Here is a 22,262-nt window from a genome sequence, read left to right as displayed (position 1 = left end):
CTGACTTCTGCAGGTCTCTGGGACATAGGGCCTACACTGGGAACGGGGCTGTGCAGCCCAGGGGTGGAGGTCAGCCTGTCTTAGCTCCCCCATCTCCCTCCAGGCTGGGCTCTGGCTCTGAGCACATTTGCACCCCTCCTCAGGCTGCCACCTGTCTGGGCGCCTGAGGAACCCGGCTCCATTCCAGGCCCAGGTCCCTCCTCCAAGTCAGGGTCCCTCCCACCTTCTCTCAAACCTGCTCAACCTGCCTGGCAGCCCAGCATCTCCCAGAGGTGCCTCCAGAGGTGGGATGCACTGGAACAGCCCTCCCAGCAGCATCAGAAGCAGCAAGAGCTGGGAGTGGGGTGGGTGGGAGGGCAGGCTGACCCTGCAGAAGAGGATGGGGAATTAAGCTTGCCACTGCTGCTGGAATGACACCTCTCTCTGACCTGAGCTTGCAGAGCCTCCCTTATAAACTGCTCCCGCCCCCGCCTTGCCCCTCCCTGCCCCTGGCTCTTGGATGGCCTCTGAGAGTGACCTACTTTTCTCCACCCCCACCCTCAGTGGTTCCCTCCTGGCTCAGCTGATATTTTATCTGAGTGACCCAGGGGCACAATGGGTATATTGCCACCCCCAGAAGTGTCCTGGAAGCATCGATGGTGGGATGCAAGCTAGATGTGTGTCTCTCCTCCACTCCCAGGGCTCCCTGTTAGGATGGGAGCTCTGAGCAAGCCCAGCTTCCTCAAGCACTCCAGATGCTCGCAGTTACCAAAGTTAAGTGTCTACAAACAGACTGAAAGGATGGACAGAGCCACAAAGCCCCTCTAATGGGGGAAGGGTCAGACAATGTTCCTCCTTTTATTATTATTATTATTATTATTATTATTATTATTATTATTAACTCCTGGCTTCAAGTGATCCTCCCCACTTGGATTCCCAAAGTACTGGGGTTACAGGCGTGAGCCACCGTGTCTGGCCACCTGCTCCTCCTGTTAAAGGGATGAGAAACATTAACATGCTCACGTAGATACACAAAATAAAAAACATTTGTTGAACACCTACCATGTGCTGGGGGATGTTCTAAGAGTTTTACATGACTTAGTTCACTTTAACCTTCACAGCAATCCTATGGAGTAGGTATTATCCCCATTTTATTTTTTTATTTTTTATTTTTTTATTTTAGAGAGGCGGGCAGCTTGCTCTGTCACCCAGACTGGAGTGCAGTGGTGCCCCACCATGCCTGGCTAATTATCCCCATTGTTTTTATTTATTTATTTATTTTTGTTCTGTGGAGATGGGGTCTCACTATCTTGTCCAGGCTGGTCTCAAACTCCTGGGCTCAAGCTGTCCTCCTGCCTCAGCCTCCCAAAGTGCTAGGATTACAGGTGTGAGACACCTGGCCTAATTGTCCCCATATTAAAGACAGAATGACTGAGACACAAAGAGGCTAAGTAACTTGCCCAAGATCATATCTCCAGTAGATACTGAATTCAGGATTCAAACCCAGGCAGCATGGCTACTGACAGCGTGCTCTTCACCACCGCTTTACAATATTTGCATAATTCCCCTGAAGGATATACACAGCCACTCATATTTAGGACAGGCCACCTCACATACATAATTGTGCATAGAAATACATCATTACCTAGTTGTTTATCATAACTAACATTTATACAGCAATTTATTTACAAATCACTTTCACACCCAGAAACAATGCCCAGTGAAGGATGGGTTGTTAACTATTTAACAGATAACAATTAAGACTACGTTTACTGACTCAACTGGGGCTCAGCTATTTGGCTGGGAGCGGTTCATCTTTTCTTTTCTTTCCCTTCCTTTCTTTAAATAAAAATAAAGCATGCTTCATAGTAAAATTAAAACAGGACAAAAGAGAATAAAGTGAAAAGTAAAAGGCTCCCTCCTTCCTCCTGTTATTCCCATTTCTGGAGGTATGCCCTTCCAAAAATTGTCAGTGCACACGTAAGTAAACAGTAATAGAGATTATACATGGCTTCTCATTCTTGCGAGGAAGTCTTTGTGGAGAACCCCTTGTTCTCCTCATTTTACACATTAAGAAATCTCTGGCCGGGCACGGTGGCTTATGCCTGTAATTCCAGCACTTTGGGAGCCTGAGGCAGGTGGATCACGAGGTCAGGAGTTCAAGACCAGCCTGGCCAAGATGGTGAAACCCCATCTCTACTAAAAAATACAAAAATCAGCCGGGCGTGGTGGCAGGCACCTGTAATCCCAGCTACTCACTCAGGAGGCTGAGGCAGAGACTTGCTTGAACTCAGGAGGCAGAGGTTGCAGTGAGCCGAGATCGTGCCACTGCATTCCAGCCTGGTCGAAGAGCAAGACTCCATCTCAAAAAAAAAAAAAAAACAAAACTCTTAAGAGTGGGGTACTGCGTTTTATTTTTATTTTTTTTTGAGATGGAGTCTCGCTCCATCCACAGGCTGGAGTGCAGTGGTGTGATCTTGGCTCACTGCAACCTCCGCCTCCAGGGTTCAAGCCATTCTCCTGCCTCAGCCTCCCGAGTAGCTGGGATTACAGGCATGTGCCACCACACCCGGCTAATTTTTGTACTTTTAGTAGAGATGGGGTTTCGCCATGTTGGCCAGGCTGGTCTTGGACTCCTGACATCAGGTGATCCGCCTGCCTCGGCCCCCAAAATACTGGGATTACAGGCGTGAGCCACCGCGCCGGCCCGGTACTGTATTTTAACAAGCTCTCTAGGAAAAAAGTGGCATAGCTCTCCAAGGCCACTCAGGTACTAAATGGAAGTTAGGATTTCAGCCCAAGTCTTCCCGACCTGGAGCCCATGTCCCCCACTGCCCTTGCCCCAGGGCCCATTGCCTCCTCCATCCCCTGTTGGCACCTGCTGGCTCAACACCCCTAGAGCCAAGACTCTGCTGCTCTGAGCCTTTCAGGGTAGGGCGAGGGCCGCGCTGGAAAAGGACATTCCCTTTGGAAACTTAATCTAAGGGAGGACTTGCTGAGCTAAGCCCTGCTGAGGGGGAGGCCAGGGAGCAGGCCTGGGGACTTGACTGAGACCCAGATCAGCCAAGGGATGGGCTCCCAGGATGCCCCCTCAAGCCCCCGGCAGGCTTCACTGCGGCCTTGAGGGCTATGGAGAGTGGCAGGTAACAGGCCTCAGTCTCCACAGTAGCTCCAGCCAGGGACTCAGGATAGGGAGAGGAGGCGGGGTCTGGGGCTCCCAGGGAGAAGAGGGGCCTGTAGATGAGAACTGCAGCCCCCCAACAACATCCGCCTCTGGGAGAGGGACTGAGCGGGGGCAAGAAGAGTATCATTTCCAGCTTCTGGGGTGAAAGGGGGCTCTGGAAGCCCCTGCCCCTGCTGTGACCCCTCCTGGGTAAGTTTCCCCAAGGGCCGCTCAGACCCGTCCTCAGCTCTTCCATTCAGGGCCTGGGTCCCTGGCAGGGCTGGGACCTTAGGAGACAAAATTGCTAAGACTCAGCCATAAACCCAGCTGCTGAGGATGTATGTGTATTTGTTACGAATGTCTCCAAGTGGCTGGCCACAGTGGTGCCACGGCATTCTGACCCAGGTGGCCTAGGCTGGTCATGCAGGACTTTGCTGGGTCTTGCGTGCCTCAGGCCTGGACCCAGTCCTCACACCTCCCGTCCTAGTGTGGAATCTGGAGAACAGGCCAGGGCCAAGGCCAGGATGGAACCTATCTTCCCCCAGAGGACACTTTGGAACAGGGTACTCAGTGAGGTGCCCCCTTCCTATCTGGCCAAGAGGGAGCTTGCCAGGAATCAGGGATTCCTGAGGTCAGTACTCGGTGGAGGGAGAGACAGCCACGGTGAGACTTGCAGAAGCCAGAGGGAGACTGAGATTGGACTCCTCTCTCCACAATTTCCAGGCCAGGCCAACCCAGGGGACAAGGCAGGCCTCCCTGAAAGCCCACCCTCTCCCTCCTTGGTTCATGGCAGAGCCTCCCCAGTCCCTATCACCTTAAGGATCATGCCTGCACACCCTAACCTAGACATGCTACCTTTGAAGCGCCACAGCTCTGTTGTGATCAAGGTGGGCCTGCATGGGACACCCCGCTTCTCTCTCGGATGCAGTAGCACTGCACTGGGCATCAGAGGGCATAGGACTGAGCATAAGCTCAGCTTGGCTTCTAACTGACTGAGGGATTTTGGACAAGTCACCTCCCTACTCTGAGCTTCAATTTGGCCACCTGTAAAACATGAGAGTTGAACTTCATTTCGAATCGTGGGAATCTGGGTTTGAGCTGGGGAGTGTGGGGTTGGCCATGGGTGTTCTTCTTGGTGAACAGAGCAAGGAGCAGAGTAGAGACCCCTAGGAGATATTACTGGTCAAGAAGAGAAGATGTATGTGTATTTGCTATGAGTGTATTTATGATCATATATAGTATGTGACGTGTACATATACATGTGGAAGCATAAATACACATGTAAGGGTGTGTGTGTGTGTTTGTGTGTGTGTGTGTGTGTTTACGGCAGCAGCTAATTGATCCCTGCCTCCCAGTTGCTGTGGGGGAAGGGGCCGAGAAGGCAGTCACTCATTAGAGGCAACTAATGGGCCCAAATGGCCTTGTCAGCAAAGGCTGAGCTTAGATGAGCTTCCTCCCGAAGTGGGGAAGGAAAAAGATGTGAAATAGAAAAAGGAGGGGAGAAGAGAGCAAAGAAGGCGGGCAGAGGCCTCAGAAAGAATGAGGCTTCCCCAGGAGAAACTACAAGGATTGCAGTATCCTCACTTTATCCCTGTTAATAAATATTCCTCCTGCCAAGAGAAAAAGTTCCTGCTTTTTCTGACCCAAGGAAGTAGAGGGCAGAAAACTGTCAAGGGAAGAAAGGCAGACACATGTGTATTCCCATGCCCACAAGCACAGGTGTGCTAGCTGCATGCATATGGCCACACTGAGACGCAAGCATGTGGGCTATGTCGATGTGCAGTCTCAACACTTGTCATGCACGTGCTTACCCAGAGACACCCCCCCCACACACCAGCCTGAGCATAGGGAAGTGTGGGCATGTGCCTGGCACGGGAAGGTGTATGCGCATTCACCCAGGGGTGCTGGCTCTGTGTTGGTGCAAGGGAGACAAAAATGAGGAGGACACAGTCCCTGTCCCCCAGCTGACATTTTATTTTATTTTATTTTATTTTATTTTATTTTATTTTATTTTATATTTATTTTGTTTTATTTTTGAGATGGAGTTTCGCTCTTGTTGTGCAGGCTGGAGTGCAGTGGCATGATCTCGGCTCACTGCAACCTCCACTTCCTGGGTTCAAGTGATTCTCCTGCCTCAGCCTCTTGAGTAGCTGGGACTACAGGCGTGTGCCACCACACCCATCTAATTTTTTTGTATTTTTAGTAGAGATGGACTTTCACCATATTGGCTAGGCTGGTCTCGAACTCCCAGCCTCAGGTGATCTGCCCACCTCAGCCTCCCAAAGTGCTGGGATTACAGGCGTGAGCCACCGTGCCTGGCCCTCCAATGGACATTGTAGTTGGGAAGAGGTTGCTTGCTAAGGAAACGGATCATTTATATGATGACACAGGGTGTACTGGAAAGATGCCCAGCGTGACTGTAGTCCCCGCTACTTGAAGGGTGACATGGGAGGATTGCTTTAGCCCAGGAGGTCAAGGCTGCAGTGAACCCTGATGATGCCACTGTACTCCAGCATGGGCAAGAGGAGGAGACACCATCTCTAAAGAAAAAGAAATTAAATTAAAATAAAATTGTGTGTGTGTGTGTTTGGTCTGTCACCCAGGCTGGAGGGCAGTGGCAAGATCATAGCTCACTGCAGCCTCGAACTCCTGGGCTCAAGCAATCCTCCCACCTCAGTCTCCAGAGTAGCTGGGACTACAGGCACACATGCCACCATGCTTGGCTAAATTGTTTATTTTATATTGTGTAAAGATGGGAGTCTTGCATGTTGCCCAGGCTGGTCTCAAACTCCTGGCCTCAAGCAATCCTCCTTCCTCGGCCTCCCAAAGTACTAGGATTACAAGCATGAGACACTGCACTCAGCCAAAATACAACACATATTAATAACCAGAATTAAGAATTTCCAACACATTAATAAGAAAAATATTTTTGAAACCCCAGTTTTTAAAATAGGCAACTGGGCACGGTGGCTCACCCCTGAAATCCCAGCACTTTGGGAAGCTGAGGCAGGTGGATCACCTAAAGTCAGGAGTTCAAGACCAGCCTGGCCAACATGGCGAAACCCTGTCTCTACTAAAAATACAAAAATTAGCTGGGTGTGGTGGCAGGCACCTTTAACCCAAGCTACTCGGGAGGCTGAGGCAGGAGAAGCTCTTGAACTTGGGAGGCAGGGGTTGCAGTGAGCCCGGATCGCCCACTGCATTCTAGCATGCATGACAGAGTGAGACTTTGTCTCCAAAGATAAAAATAAAAATAAAATGGGCAAAGTATATGAAGAGGTGACTTACAGAAATAAAAACACAATGTCCAATGAACTTAGGAAAATATGCTCAACATGAGAGAAATGCAATCATAATTTGAGAACTACAAATTAAAATAGACATAAGATTTGTTTTAGCTTCATCCATTGGATTAGCAAAAATTCAACGTACTGACAGTATCCAGCATGGGAGAGAGTGTGTACGTAAGTTGGTCTTCTCATCCTCTCTTGGAAGTGCCCTGAATTGGTTCAGTCTTCTTGATAGGTATTTTGGCAGTTTCTATTAAAATTAACAATACCCATCTTCATTTGACCAACTCTATTTCTAGATATCCATTATCCTAACAAAATAGCCATGTCTGCCCACAGAACCACATACCAGAGAGTTCACTAAGCAAATTTACAACAATGAAAAATCAGAAGCAACCTAACAGTCCACCAGTGGGAATGGGTGAATAAACAGTGGCACCCCCATCTATGGAATACTTAAGGTGAAGCAATTAAAAATAATGAGGTAGACCTCCATGTTCTGATATGGGAAAATGTGCATGCCATATTTTCATTCCAAGCCATATATATAGATAGATAGATACATTTTTTTTTGAGATGGAGTCTAGCTCTGTCACCCAGGCTGGAGCGCAGTGGCACGATCTCAGCTCACTGCAACCTCCACCTCCCAGGTTCAAGTGATTCTCCTGCCTCAGCCTCCCGAGTAGCTAGGATTACAGGCACCCGCTACCATACCTAGCTAATTTTTGTATTTTTAGTAGAGACGGTGTTTCACTGTGTTGGCCAGGCTGGTCTCAAACTCCAGACCCCATGATCCGCCTGCGTCGGCCTCCCAAAGTGCTGGGATTACAAGCGTGAGCCACCGCTCACTGGAAAAGCAAATTGCAGAAAAACAAAAATACTCAGGTACAAAGGTAAAAACCCAACAAAAAAATCGTATGTTTCTCCTTGAATAATATATACATGTAGGTAAATGCGTAGGAAATGATCTAGAAGGATACACAGTGAATTGACCACAGCAGTGACCTCTGCAGATGATTCTGGAATTGGAAGGATTATTTCATCTGTATTTCTTACAACAAGAATGCATTTTTAGTTTACTTTTGAAATTTAAAGTAAATTTAAATAAATGTGGTTCATTTGAATAAATGAATTAACAAAAGTTTCAGCAGTGAGTCTTGACATACACAAACACGAGGCACTAAGATTTTTATTCATTGCATGAAGAAAGAGGCCCCTTTTTGGCAGCAATTCTGCTTTAGCAAATGTCACAAGGACCCGCCTCCCATTCCACCCCTGGAATGTTAAAATTGGGGGCTGTCTAGACTGTTAGAGGGCTAAAGACCTTCAGTTTACACAGGTAAGGAAAGATGGCCAGGGCCCAAGTCATAGCTTCAGAAAGATCACAAAAGGCCCATGGAAGGCGGAGAGTGGCAAGGTGACTGTATTCTTGTTTGACTTGCAATTTGTCATCTTAGGGACAAGTCCAGGCCCAGGGGCTCATGGCTGTACTCACAGCACCTGGATTCGGTCCTAGTAATTCATGATAAATATTGAGTGACTGCTGGCACTAACAGTCACTTACATCAGGCAGCTCTTTGCAGTTGATACAATCCTGCCTTGCACATTTCCTCATTTGTTCCTCATAACCTCTGAGAGGTAGCTTCTACTGCCATCCCCATGTCACAGATGAGGAAACTGAAGTTCAGAGAGGTCAGACTTGGCCACGTTCACTCAGATAACAAGAGGCAGAGCAAGACTCAACTGCAGTCCTTTTGACCTCCTATCCCTAACTCCACTGTGGCAAAATCCCCCTGGGGTTACCATCTGCTCCCTCCCTCAGCTTTCTGGGTATGAGCCTTAGCCCTGGCCTGACATTTTCTCTGGGAAAAATCCAGTGAGGCTGATCCTAGGCAGAGGACTTAACTGAGCCTTGGTTGCTGATGAGGACTATGACAGGCAGTGCAGTTCAGTGGTGAAGATGCACGAGGCTCCAGTCCCAATTCCTAGCTGAGTGACCTTGGGCAAGTTATTTAACATCTTTGCCTATTTCTTCATCTGTAAAATAAGAATAGGAGAACCTGGCCAGTCACAGTGGCTCACGCCTGGAATCCCAGCACTTTGGGAGGCTGGGGCAGGTAGATCATTTGAGGTCAGGAGTTTGAGATCATCCTGGCCAACATAGCGAAACCCCATCTCTATTAAAAATACAAAAATTAGCCAGGCAGTAGTGGAGTGTGCCTGTAATCCCAGCTTCTCAGGAGGCTGAGCAGGAGAATGGCTTGAGCCTGGGAGGGGGAGGTTGCGGGTGAGCCGAGATCGCACCACTGCACAATCTATCTCTTGGAGATGTGAACATACACTGAGATAATACATATAAAGTCCTTAGTTTGGTGCCCAACATACTATTAGCTCTCACCAGATGCTCAAGATGATGGCAATTGATTACAGAATGGCCCTCCCAGCCTAGTGAGTGTGACTTGAATCTCAGTCTTACTGCACACTTGCACCGTAGAAAGAGCTATACCAGAGAGAGATGTGACAGAGCAGCCTGGGAACTGCAAAGCAGTTACTTGGTTAGGGGATTCTGAGCCAACATTTAGCTGACAAAAGGGAAAAATAAGGTCCCCAAACAGGAGAACAGGCCAAGTGTCCTTGGAGTGGGTAGACAGAGCTCAATGTGGGGAGGGGTCTGTGGTCAAGGTCAGGATGGGACTGGTGTGCCAAGCAGAGATGTCAGGAGAAATGGCCTGCGGGAGGTCTTTAGGGGGCACTTAGGGTTCACAAGGAGAGTCACCAGATGGGATCCAAGAGCAAGGGTGCCATTTGGATGCAGATTTCTCTTCATCTGGGCTTCCTTCTCTGGAAGGGAGCCAGAGAGGAAAAAAATGGAGAGCCAAGGTATGCAGAAGACCGAATCCCCAAAGCAGCCTCTAAGCCTTGGCAACTGCTGACAGGGAGCCTCCAGAGTCACTCAAAGTCAAGGAGAAGGGCTCTCCAAGGCACCAGTTCCATAACGCATTTCAGGCAGCTTCCTGTAGCCTCTCTCCCACCCTGGTCCCACAAGAAGCTAAGCCAAACAATGATCAGACCATAGAGTCAGTAGATGTGGAAGGAAGCTTCAGAGCCAACCAAGATGGGCACGCCTCTTCACCAGTTGCCAAGTCAGTAGCCAGCTCAGGGGTTACTCTGGAGCCTCCCTCATCTTCCCCCTCAGCCTCCACCCAACTGATCACTGAGTCTTCCACAAGACTACTAACTTCTCTCCCTCTGCACCCACCTCATTAGCCCAGGCCACCACCTTTCACCTGGAATGTGGCAACAGCCTCCTGGCTGATGTCTGATCCTCTGATGCATGATCCATCATCTCCCACATGGCCACAATAATACACCTTTCTAAAATATGTATCTGAACAAGCTTTCCCTCTGTTTAAAACCCTCTGGTGGCTCCTCATTGCCATGGCATCAAGTTTGAGCTCCTTGTCACAGTTTATAAGGTCCCTGCCTTCTTCTCTGGTCTTGTCTTATTATTCACCATCTCTTAATTTATGCTCCGATTGGCCAGAACTTCTATAACTCCTCAGGCTCTCACCCCAGAACTAGTCAACCGGAATCTGCATTTTAACAAGATCCCCTCGTGATTTGGATGCGCATTAAAGTTTGAGAAACACAGCTCTAGGCTAGTAGCTCCAAAATTCCCTAATAATTAGAATCATCTGTGGTATTTATTAAAAATGCAAATTACAGGGCCCTATCTTAGACTCACCCAATGACAATTTCCAGGGGAGGGAGCCTGGGAAGCTGTGTATTTAACACAATACATTTCAATACCTGAATACACTTCAATACTTGAAGCGTCCCAAGTGATTCTTCTCAGCAAGGATGCTTGGGAAACATCAGCAGTGGTTCTCAAGCTTGGCTGCACATTAGAATCACCTGGGAGAGCTTTAAACCTATATTTATTTTATTTTGTCATTTTATTTGCTTTTTTAGAGACTATCTGGAGTGCAGTGGCGTGATTATAGCTAACGGTAGCCTCAAACTCTTGGGCTCAAGTAATCTCCTGCCTCAGCCTCCCAAGTAGCTAGGACTGCTGGTGTGCACCACCATGCCCAACAATTTTTTTTTCTTTTTTCTTTTTTTCTTTTTTTCTTTTTTAGGTAGAGAGGCGGTCTCGCCATGTTGCCCAGGCTGGTCTTGAACTCCTGGCCTCAAGTAGTCCTCCTGCCTTGGCCTCCCAAAGTGTTGGGATTACAGGCATGACCCACCATTCCGTGCCTAAACCTGTAATAATGCCTGAGTACCAACCCAGAAATTCTGGTCTGGGGGCAGCCTCAGCATCAGGATCTTTCAAGTCTTCCCTGGGTGATTCCTGTCTGATGTGCAGCCACGGTTGAGAACCACTGTGCTAAGTAGATGATTTCCAAATGTAGGTGCATGGACTAGGTGCCCCAGAATCATTTGAGGAAGCTCAGGGGAGGCTGGGAATGGAAGTGAAACAGGGCTGAAGACCCTGGGATCTTAGTGGGGAATGGCCTTCAGAAGGTCAGAAGGGGAACCTGAAGTGAGAGCCTCCTACTGGGGGGGCCTTCACCTCCCCAGAGGGAGGAGGCAGCAGAAGCCACAGCATGCTGGGCTGGGGTGAGATAGAGGAGAATCCCCTCAGATCCAGAGGAGAATAATGAGTGCTGATGGGCTGGTGCCGGTGGGGCAGGGCAGCCTTGGGTCAAACATGTGAAGCTGGAGTAGACAGGTATGGCACCACACCTGCTCACTCTCACCATCCCTAACCAGTCCTCCTGAGCCTGGACCTCTGGCCATGTAGCCTGCAGCTCTGGGACACCACCCACCCCAGCTTGGCACTTGGCTGGGGCCTGAGCATGTTGTGGGGGTGCAAGTGGGGGAGAGAGGCAGAGGATGGAGATTGCTTATTGACCTTCCCAGGGACCTACATTTGACAGATGACAAAGTGCTCCACCCACACCTGCACCTCGTCCTCATGATTACCCTGTGAGACAGTTTCCTCCCCATTTGCAGGTAGCGACATGTAGACTCAGAGAAGTCATGTGCTCAAAGCCACAGAGCTGGTCAACAGCAGAGCAGACGTTGGCCGTTGGAGTTCTGGGATTTTTCCTCTAAGAGACAGCAACTGTCTTTCCCATGCGTGTTTGTGCGCTCACACAATCATACACTTGTAAGCAGTCACACCCCACATGGTCACACTAGTGCACTGCTCTGTCATACTCATTATTTCAAAGACCCACATGTTTACACTCTCATACTCAGCCTGGACCCCACCTCACAGGCACACACCCACACACAGCCACAGACGAGCACACTCCCAATCTCCAGCGTGCACACTCACAAAGACACAAATGTGCCCATACTCACCCTAATGAGCCCCTGGTGGCCCTCCCTCCTTCCAGAGCTCACGTGCCCTGCCCCTTCCTCACTGTGTGTGTGCATGTGCATGGCAGGGATAGGAAGCAGCTGTCTGGCTCCAATAGTCCACCTCCCATCCCTCCACCTGCCACATTGTGGCTCCAGCCCCAGGGCAGAGGCTGCCTGTGTTTGGGCAGCAGCCAGGGTTGAATGAGTAAGAGGAACCAGAACAGAGATCAGAATAGAAACCCCACCCTCATCCAGACCCTCCTCAAGAACTCAGAGAACCAGAACCCCCCAACTCACATCCTGCAGCAGAGCCAGAGCTGAGCTCTGAGAAAGTTTGCCCTCAGCCGTGTGGACAGGGAGCTGACACATGACCAGGTTCATTTGGGACTGAGACAGCTTCCCTGGGTCTCCAGCAGGACTCTGGGGCCCCCTGAGTGGCCCAAGGGTCTCTTCAACCCTGAGTACTAAAGAGAGAGAGCCCCCTACAGAAGCCATGACCCTGAGCTTTCAAGGGGCTGATGGAGCCAACACAAAGTAAACCCCGCTCTCTACAGCACATCCGAAGCCTGGAGCAAAAACCTTGGGCTCAGAAGTCAGAACTAATTGGGTTTGAATCCAGTTCTGCCACTTGCTAGTGGAGCTAGTGCAGCTTTGGAACATTTACTTAACCTCTCAGCTCCCTCATCTATAAAGTGGGGCTGTTATATCCGTCTGCCTTGTAGGACAGAAAGATCAAATCGCAAAAGCATCTGGCACATCACATGGGAAGTGTTCGATAAATAGGAGCTGTTTTTTGTTTTCCTTGCTATTATCATTATATATATATATATATATATATATATATATATATATATATATATATATATATATATATATATATATATAATTAGAGACAAGGTCTCATTCTGATTTCCAGGCTGGAGTGCCATGGCACAGTCATAGCTCACTGTAGCTTCAACCGCCTGGGCTCAAGTGATCCTCCCCACTCAGCCTCCTGAAGTGCTGGGATTACAGGTGTGAGTCACCGCCCCTGGCCCTATTGTCATTATTTTTATTTTATTTTATTTTTTGAGATGGAGTCTTGCTCTGTCACTCAGGCTAGAATGCAGTGGCACCATCTCAGCTCACTGCAACCTCTGCCTCTCGGGTTCAAGCGATTCTCCCGCTTCAGCCTCCCGAGTAGCTGGGATTACAGGTGCCTGCCACCATGCCTGGCTAATGTTTGTATTTTTAATAGAGATGGGGTTTCACCATGTTGACCAAGCTGGTCTCGAATTCCTGGACTCAAGTGATCCACCCGCCTCGGCTTCCCAAAGTGCTGGGGTTATAGGTGTGAGCCATCGTGCCTGGCCCTGTTATCATTGTTATTAAAGGTGTTCCCAGATGTGATCATTGCAGAGATCAGCCAATGGGCAGATAAGCTGAGGTGGCCATTTGGGAAAAGCAGAAGGCAAGGGTAGGGGCAAAAGCAGGTACTGGGGGAGAATTCAGAGAGGGTGCAGTGAGTAAGAGGGCTCCTTCCCACTAAGGAGAAGCGCAGCTGGAGGGGCTGCTGAGCATGGCCTCTGCTGGGTCTCCTGGTTCCTGCCACAGAGATCAATGGGAGCTGGGGCCTCTCTCTAGTCATGGATGCCTGGCATTCCATCCTCTGATGCTCCAGACGGAAATCAGGGCCCACTCATTAGCAGGCACCACGTCCTGCTTCCCATTGCTCCCTGAGACACCTCGTTGTATTCTCCAGGGACTCCAGGGAGCCTGGAAGGTTTGAATTTTTCTCCCTTGTGGGCAATCAGACTGGGAAATGTGTTCTGCTAATTGACCTAGAGAGGGGAAACCAAAGCACAGCTTGTGCAAAGACCACACTCCAAGTCACAGGGACAATCCAACAGAGCTGGGTCCAGGATCCCTGACTTCTGCTACCATCCTCAGACACTGACCACAAGGTCTGAGAGGGGATTTAAAAAGATCTCAATAGGCCGGCCTGGGTTGAGGAGTCAAGATCTTTGTCCTCTGGAGGTGAGGCCAGACTTAGCCAGCAGCTGGGAAGAAGGAAGGCTTTTACAAGTCACGTCCCCACTGAAAAAAAAAAAAAAGGCTTCTGTTACATGAGACTGGAGAGAAGCTGGGAGACAGAGAGAGAGGTACTAAGACCAAGACACTGTCCCCTCTGTGGCCTGGGCCTACCTGAGGAGGCCAGTTACCCACGAGCCCCTGCTCCCCAGGGCCCTATCACTAGGAGCAGCTCTCATCACCTCCAAGCCCAAGCAGACCCCCCTTTATCAGGCCCCCTGGCACCAGCCTGTCTGAGCCTCCACCACCTCTGACGCCCAGGACGTTTGTTTTGGTATCTGTGGTGGCTGTAGTCAGAGCATAATTGAAGTTGAAACACCCACTTGGACCCCCTGAAGGATAAACAAGCGGGGCTGGGGCAGCCTTGGAACAGATGTGAAGACAGACATGAAGACAGCAGGTCCAGGAAGCCAGGCAAGCTGGCTGGGAAGGGCCAGAGGGCTGGCGGGAAGGGAAGGGGACCAGGCAGGAGGACAGTGAGGAGGCCAAAGGTGTGCCCACTTCCAGGGCGGTGGTGGCAGGGAAGTCAATACTCGGAGGCCAACTAGAAAAACCTCACAACTCACCCATCCTGGTCTGGGGCTGCCCTCAGGAAGCTGATCTAACGAGGGCATGAGCCTGGCTCTAAGGAAGTGTCTCGTACAGAGGTTCTCAGGCTTTAGGAAGCTTGGTAACAATTCAGTTATCTGGACCTCTTCCCCACAGTTTCCAGCTCAGTAGGTCTGAAGTAGGCACAGGACTTGCACTTGGGGAAACACTGGTCTTCATTGATGGGAATGTCTTGACCTTGCCTTCAGGAGATAGGGCCCTGCCTGGGGTTGGGAGTTCCCATCAGAACCCAGAGGGCCTGTTGGGGTCTGGGAGGGGCACTCCAGAATCCCAGCGGATATCTCCAGAGAGCTTAGCGGTGGGATGTACAGCAAGGACACCTAGGCAAGAACTGCCAAGGAGACACAGAGTTCCAGATGTTTTCCTAGGACTCCCATCTAGGCAGCTGGGGCAAAAGGAGGCCTTCAGAGCCTTGTTCTGCCAGCTTTGCCCTCTAGGCTCAAGGTATTTAAAGGACCGGAGCCCGCATCTTTGCTGGAAAGCAGCTCACTGGCTGGGTAACAAGGCAAATACTCTGCATCCTCTACACCATCCCAGTGCAGGCTCCGCCCTGCCTCAGTAGGTGATGTAAGGTGTGTGGGGAGGGGGTTGTGGAGGGGTGAAGGGCTGGAGGGGCACTCTGGCAAGCCCAGTGTTGCAGCCACAAGTCTCCTGAATCTTAGGACCCATTTGTATCTCTGAGCAGCTCTCCACTCTACATACAGGAGTGGGAGGAGACAGTGGGCCTGTGCGGGGACAGGTGTTCTTGATGGACTGGGTCTAAGCAACTCACAGTGCTGCATGTGTGCAGTGAAACAGATCCTGAGGGCGGGGCTTGCTGGCCCCCAGCTGACCACAGTACACAGTAGCTCCTGTCTTGGCTGCCTCCGAGAGTGCCCCAGCCAAGAGAGAGGGGTTGGGATGCAATGGATCAGAGCCTGGGAAGGACAGCCTGAAAGTCAGGCTGCAGGGGTGTTGGGCCAGGGCCAGGGAAGTCCATCTGGCAGCACCCACACCCTCTGGGGTCCCACTTGCCCACATACACCTGGGCCCCAATTTCCTCTCCTGAGACCATCCCATTTGAGGATGTCACCATGAGTGGTTTGATGTGTGAAGTGGGTCCTGTACTTTGGTCCCCTGAGGCTAAGAGCTCTCCCTGTCAGCAAGACCCCCTCTCCACCCACTCCCCATCACCCTCCGCTGGCGGATTCCCACCTTCCCAAAGGCATTTCCTTACCCAAATGCAGCCTCCCACCTCCCTGAGCTACTGTCCTGGGTATCAGGGCTGCCATCTGGTGGCCATTGCCATAACTACTGCCACCACCTTTTCCTGAGGCTGAGGCCATTTCAGAGGTGTGGCCAGAGAGCAGCACAGACCCCAGGGTAGGACAGGGAGCTGGGAGAGGCAGGTCTTCTGCCCCCGTGGACACGCCCACATCCTGCTTCCGGTGATGGGGAACTCCCAAGAGTTGGCCTTGATTGGCGGGAGAGTCTCTCAGGTGGTGAGCAGGAACTTCCAGGTAAAGGCTGGAAGGCTTTACTCTCCCGGAGCCTTAGGAAGCCCTGGGGCCACCCAACAGCCTCCTCCGCCCCATTCTGCCCTGTCTCTCCTGTCCAGAGCTGGAGAGGCGAGGCCGCAGCCCTGTTTCCTGGAGCTGAAGAGGTCCTATATATGCTCCTGGGGGGACAGATATTCTTGCATGGGGGTCCCCACTCCCTATCATCCTCTCAATCCCATGCCTGTGGCTCCATGCCTTGACCCACCAGTGAACACAACTAGGTGGACCCGGAGGTCTGAGGATTCACCTTGGAGATGGGAGGATGGAAGGCCTCATTACAGGATTCCTTCGCAGCCCAGCCACAGTGAATAATTTATGTACAAGGCGGAGAAGACAATAAATCAGCGGCAGTGATTAACATGAGCTATTCTACGCGTGGAAAAGATCTATGGCAGGAGGCTGCCAGGTTGCTGGTGATTAATGCCACTGTTTGCACTAGCTTCTGGGCCTTTATATTCAATTATGGGCCTGGAGTGTGTGTGGGGTCCTGGGATGGCATGGGGGACACTGGGGGCCCAGAAGGGAAGGCTTGATGCCTAGGACCAAGAGTGAGGTGATGACAGGTGGCAGTCTGACCCGTGGGCACCTTTACTGATGAGCAGGTGAAGTTAGTGGGATGGAGCAGTGGCTGTTTCTGTAATGGGAGTCACTTTATCCCTGGGGTCACTTCTAAATACTAGTCAAGGAGGTGCCTTGGTAAGTGGGCACAGGTGGAAGGAGGTATCCTTGGGAAAACCTGACTCTTCCAGAGTCAAGGGTTGGGTTTCTGAATCCCCTGCCTGCCCTGTGCTGCCATGGCCACGCTGCTAGGAGTGCAGGAACATCAGCCAGCCAGCCTGGGGTGGGGTCGGGGTGAGGTCAATGCTGGAAAAATTCCCCCACTGGCAACAGAGCCAGGGAGCCGGGGCCTGTCTCCACACTCTAGGGAGGGATGGCGGCAGGAGGGCGGGCTGGAGAAGAAGGCTCTGGGGTCTCTCTTCCCAGCTGATCCAGGAAGCCCGGGGAGGCCTCCTCCCTGGATTCCCACACTTGGGCCCCTTGTCCTCAGCCAGCTCCAGCTGGCCCCCGTCAATGCAGGGGCTCCAAAGACTAGTGGCGGCTTCGGGGTTAAGCGATTTCCCCCTGCCCAGCCCCCGCCCCAACCCTGGCTCCTGTCAGCTCCTTTCTTGTCTTCCTCCTCCTCCTTCTCTTTGGTGACCTCTGTGCAGTGTGGCTCTGCCTCCCCACAGAACCCCAGGGCTGTCATGAGGCACAGGGTTGGTATGGGGGAGGTGGGCTGACAGCTGGGCTCAGGGACCCTCTAGGCCAGGCTGGACTGAGGGGTGTGGAGAAACCACCCCCGCCTCCCTGCATCCTGGCTGGGAGCCGGCTCTTTCATTCTACCCACAGACCAGTGCTTCGGAATTCCAGTCCATGGTGGGAGGACATGCTGAAGGAAAGGGAGAAGGGAAGCTCAATGCCCTGGCCAGGGTGGGAGAGGGCACAGGAGGGGGCTGGCAGGGGCAGGCCAGAGTTTCTGGCTGAAGAGGGAAATCTCTGGTTCATCTCCCCCACCCCTCCTGCACACCTCAAGGCTTCTCAGGGAGCAGTTCTAAGTCCAATGGTGTGTGTCTGTGTGTGTGAGCCTGTGTATGAGAGTCCATATGTGTCTCTGAAGAGTGTCTGGCCCGTGGCTGTGTGTGTCTGCGTGTCTGAGCACTGCTGGGTCTCATGAGGGCCTGTGTGGGTGGGTGGGTGAACACACAGGCTTGAAGCTGACCCCCTCCCCGGGGCCCAGCTCACAGCCCTGCCTAGCCAGCCTTCCCCCACAGCAGTCTTCCTCAGCCCCTAATCCCCTGTTTGCCTGGCTCATCCCTAGGCTCTTTGGGACTCCATTAATGAGCCCCGGCCACCCCAAGACAAGCCCCGAATTAACTCCACTGCTGACCCTGACATGGACACCTGTAATTAGGCCAGCAGCAGCTGAAGCAGAGAAGCCCCAGGGGCTCCATGGGGTGAGGGCAAGGCTGGGCTGGGACAGGGAGCCTAATGCTCAGGAATGCTCTAAAAGCTGGGCCTGGCTCCAGGGCCTGCCACCCGGCTCACCTCTAATACCGTCCAAAGCCTCCCAGACAGGGCTCCAGGGGGATTACCTGTGGAGGGGCCCTGAAGGTGGGCAAGGCAGCTCAGCAGGCCTACCGTGCCAGCTCTGGGGGGCGGCCTTCAGAAGGAGAATGCTGCCCTCTTGGCCTTAGAGCCCAGCAGCCTGGCCACAAGGTCCTCAACAGCCCAGAACCTGTGCCCACGATGGCAGCTACCCAGGGAAGAGCCAAGTGCAGGCTGACTGGCCCATCTCCCTCCCTGTGGCCAGAGGGCCGGCCCCTCCCCTCCCCTAACTTGTTTTGTTTGCACAGTGTGTCCCAGTAGCTCCATCGCATTAACCCCTGACCCTGACTGAAACTCTCCCTCCCTTCTGACAACCGAGTTTACCTAGTGGCTTTCTCAGGCTTAGAGGGGAGGGCTGGCTCCTGTCCCTCCTGTCCCACCCCTCCCAGGGGAAGCTGCGCTCCCTGTCCTGCGTGCTCTCCTTGGGACTCCCCCATCCCGGGAGCTGTCCAGGAGTGTGTCTGAGAGCAACTGAGGTGGCTGAGCTGAGCACCTGGGAGGCAGCCCCTCTGCCGGTTTGACACCGGGGGTAGACAGTGCAATCATCTTCATGTGCAGTCTGGCAATATCTATCAAAAATGTTCAATGAACATGTCAGTTGACCCAACAATTCCGCTTCGAGGAATTTGTCTATATATGTCCTGCACTTGTGCTCAGAGAAATATATCAAGGTATTTTTGCAGTACTGTAAGAGCTAAAGACTAGAAACAGTCTAGGTTTCCATCTGGGGCACAAGCAACATGATTAAAACGTAGCCATATGATGGAATATCATACAGCCATCCAAGAAAACAATGTAGGCTGGGCGCAGTGGCTCACACCTGTAATCCCAGCACTTTGGGAGCCCGAGGCAGAAGGCTTGCTTGAGCCTGGGAGTTTGACACCATCCTGGGCAACATAGGGAGACCCCCATCTCTACAAAAAATGTAAAAGTTAGCTGGTTTTGGTGGTACACACGTGTGGTCCCATCTACTCGGGAGGCTAAGGTGGGAGGATTGCCTGAGCCCTGGAATTTGAGACTGCTGTAAGCCATAATCACGCCACTGCACTCCACCCTAGGTGATGGAGTGATACCCTGTCTCAAAAAAAAGAAAAAAGAAAGAAAGAAAGAAAACGAAAAAAGAAAAAAAAAGAAAGAAAACTATGTGTTTCTGCATGTACACATATATTATATAAATATATCCCCAAAACTCTGGAAAAATAACAACCACATCGATGACAGAGGGATGAGAGGGTCACTCTGTGCTTCTGTATATACAAGAAGGCTTCATCAAACATTCTTGTGTTATTACAAAACAAACAAGAGCTCACAAAAAGAATAACAGCACGACAGTCACTCATCTAGCTGTCTCCCACTACATAGCTCTGGAACCCTCCTAACCATGCTGTTTTTATCCTCATGTTACAGAAGGTGAAACCGAGGCTGAGAGTGGTTATGCAACGTCCCCAGTCATTCAGCACACACAAGTCAAGCCATGCCCTAAAGCTCAGAGATTGTCCGTGCCATCTCTCCTTGAAGATGACATTTCTTCCATGTTCTGAGCCTCTTCAAGGGTGTGGGCATTGGGGCTGAAGTTAATGATTTTCCCCCTGGACTTCTATGAACAGCACAGAGTAAACCCTTTCCCTTCCTGTCCACTTCACCACCTCCAATCCCCAGAGGAGCTGCGCGGGAGCCCAGCCAGGGGTGGGTGGTGCCAGAAGCCAGTGCAGCTTCTGGCCTTGGCATGGTTGCCAGCTTCCCCATCAGCTGCTCCTGCCAGTGAGAGCCCACTACCCGTTCCCCGCGAACAACCCCCTCCTCGCCACAGAGCACCCCCTTAATTACACTTAATGGCAAAGACCATAAGAGCTTTATTAACTTTATTATGGACCCAATTAGCAGTTAATGCCCCATGACTACTGTCCCCCCCAGTATCCCATTAAACAAAATGAAGCAGTCTTCCCTGCTTCCCTGCTGGGTGGGGCCTGAGGGGACAGGGAAATCCATCTTCCTGGGCCTGATTCTGCCCCCTCAGGCCCACTGGACACCAGCTCAGGCCCTGGAGCTTCCCGGGGACTAGGGCTGGGCGCTCGGAAGACAAAGATTAATCAGCAAGTATTTTGGTGCCAGCCATTGAGCCCACTCACCCACACACACATCCACACACATGCACACATGTGCACACGCAGACACACACACTCACATATACACAAAGCCTGGCTGATGTCCAAATAGCCCCTGTCTCAAATCAAGGATGTGGAGATACACATCCCTCAAACGCAACCCTATCTAGCGCGCCAGCATTCTCCAGCCTCGTCCAAGCAATCTTCAGAGCTGGGGTGCTCATGTTGAGGGCCTCTGCCTGGACTTGTCACAGTGAGAGATCAGAGAGCTGGGAGGTGAGAAGACTGAGGGCGAGGAAGGAGAGCCTCTTCCCTGAAGCCCACACCCTCACCACACCCCAGGCACTTCCCCACTCTGGCTGATTGTTTCAAATATTTATTCAGCACCACAATGTGCCAGACACAGAGCTAGGCCCCCTCTGCCATCTCACTTGGGCATCACAACAACCCAAGGAAGTAGGTGTGATTTCTCCCAATTTACAGACACAGAAACTGAGGCACGGAAGGATCAACAGGTTTAGAAACAGGTGTTCTATGTGATTTGCCTGAAAAGATCTCTCCTCTCTTTTTCCCCAGCAACCCACCTTGCCCCATCCTGAGGCAGAGGAGGCAGAGATCACAGACAGCATTCTCTCCATTACCTACAGACGGAGAATTAAAGCGCAGAGAAGCTGCGAGGGACAATTGTGGTGATCATGACAAGACAGCCCTCGGGATCTGAATCCACATCCACCTTGATGGGTTGAGAGGACTAGAAACCAGAGAACACCCCCATCTCTAATGCCGCAAGAGGCCCCTGATGCAGGATCTTGCAGGAATAAGAAGGCTCCATGGAACGGGACGAGGCAGGAGCAGAGAGGAGCCATGATACGTTAACTCTCCCAGTCACCCCACTGATCAAAACCTTAAGACTTGAGGATTCTGGTTCCTTGTGCTGGGGGTCTCCATCTATCCCCACTCAAGCACAAGAACCACCTCAAGATGGGACAGGGACTTGGGTCCCTCCATCGGCTTTGGTCTCAGATAAGGAAGAAACATTATGACTGACAGGGCAGAATGGGTGGCTGCCCTGAGCAAGGGGGCGGGAGCCCAGGAAAGGAAACCCTTGAACCTTTGCTTGGAAACAGGCTCCTTGTTCCTGCTCCCCCTCCCCAGGGCTGCGTCATCCTGGAAGCAACCACTTGAAATGGGTCCTAGGGAGCCTGGGAGAGGGGCTGGCCTAGTTCCAGCCTCCAGCGCCTGGCGCCTCAGACAGGCCCATGTCCCCAGTCCTCCTCCAGCCTAGCCCCAGCTAGGGTCAGGAGGTGACAGGGAGAGTTTTCCTCTAGGCCCTTCTAAGTCAGGATCCACTCCCACCCCAACACACACCCAGCATGGCACCCCTCCAATTGCTCCATCCCTGGGGAAGGCGGGGGGCATGGGCAAGTCAGCACTCTCTCCTTTCCCAAGAGGCCATGGGGCCTGGGGAGGGGGCAGAGCCTACTCCCTGGGGTTACTTGAGGGCAGAGCACTGGGGAGCCTCCCCGAGTGGGGCCCCCACTCTTCCCTTTGCCCCGGATGAGTGTTCTCTGACACCAGGTTCCCCGCCCCACCCTCTAAACAAACAGAAGCATCACCCTCCCCACCCTTCTCAAACCCAGAAGGATCTGGTGCCCAGGTCACCTCAGCTGGAGAAATCCAGAATCCGCCTACGGAGAACACTGAGGAACCTTGGTGGAGGCAGGGGTCAGAGGGGACAGTGACATTTGAGGGCCTTGGGGGAAAGTTAGCCTATGCTGAGCTGAGGCTCTGGCTAGGGGCCCAGTATTGGCTTTGCTATTTCCTGGCTGTGAGAGCTTGAGTGAGTCTTCCAACCTCTTTGAACTTCAGGTTTTCATCTGTAAAATGGGGCTGATCACAGAATTTGCTTCATAGGGCTCTTTGCGAACATTAAAGTAGTAATGTATAGAAAACCTTTAGCCAGTTTCTGGCACTAGTCACTGTTACAGCATTG

At 51.7% G+C, this 22,262-nt stretch overlaps 1 long non-coding RNA gene across 2 annotated transcripts in view, besides 1 other annotated feature; it reads left to right on the top strand.

The window, feature by feature from the left end:
- The window catches only part of TLX1NB (TLX1 neighbor), a 51,946-nt gene extending 29,719 nt beyond the window's left edge, over positions 1-22,227 (top strand). For both annotated transcript variants that reach the window (NR_130723.1, NR_130722.1), the window contains exon 3: positions 20,846-22,227. This is a non-coding gene — a long non-coding RNA (TLX1 neighbor). The remainder of the gene's footprint in view (positions 1-20,845) is intronic.
- Positions 15,909-16,028: an enhancer, noted in NCBI's record as "active region_3907". NCBI's record gives its function as "activates an Ori minimal core promoter by ATAC-STARR-seq in GM12878 lymphoblastoid cells {active_cell/tissue: GM12878}" and the evidence as "EXISTENCE:reporter gene assay evidence [ECO:0000049][PMID:35858748]".
- Positions 22,228-22,262: the final 35 nt, after the last annotated feature.

Source organism: Homo sapiens, chromosome 10 (assembly GCF_000001405.40).
Source record: "Homo sapiens chromosome 10, GRCh38.p14 Primary Assembly".
NCBI lineage: Eukaryota > Metazoa > Chordata > Mammalia > Primates > Hominidae > Homo > Homo sapiens.
This window is presented reverse-complemented; position numbering and strand designations above follow the sequence as displayed.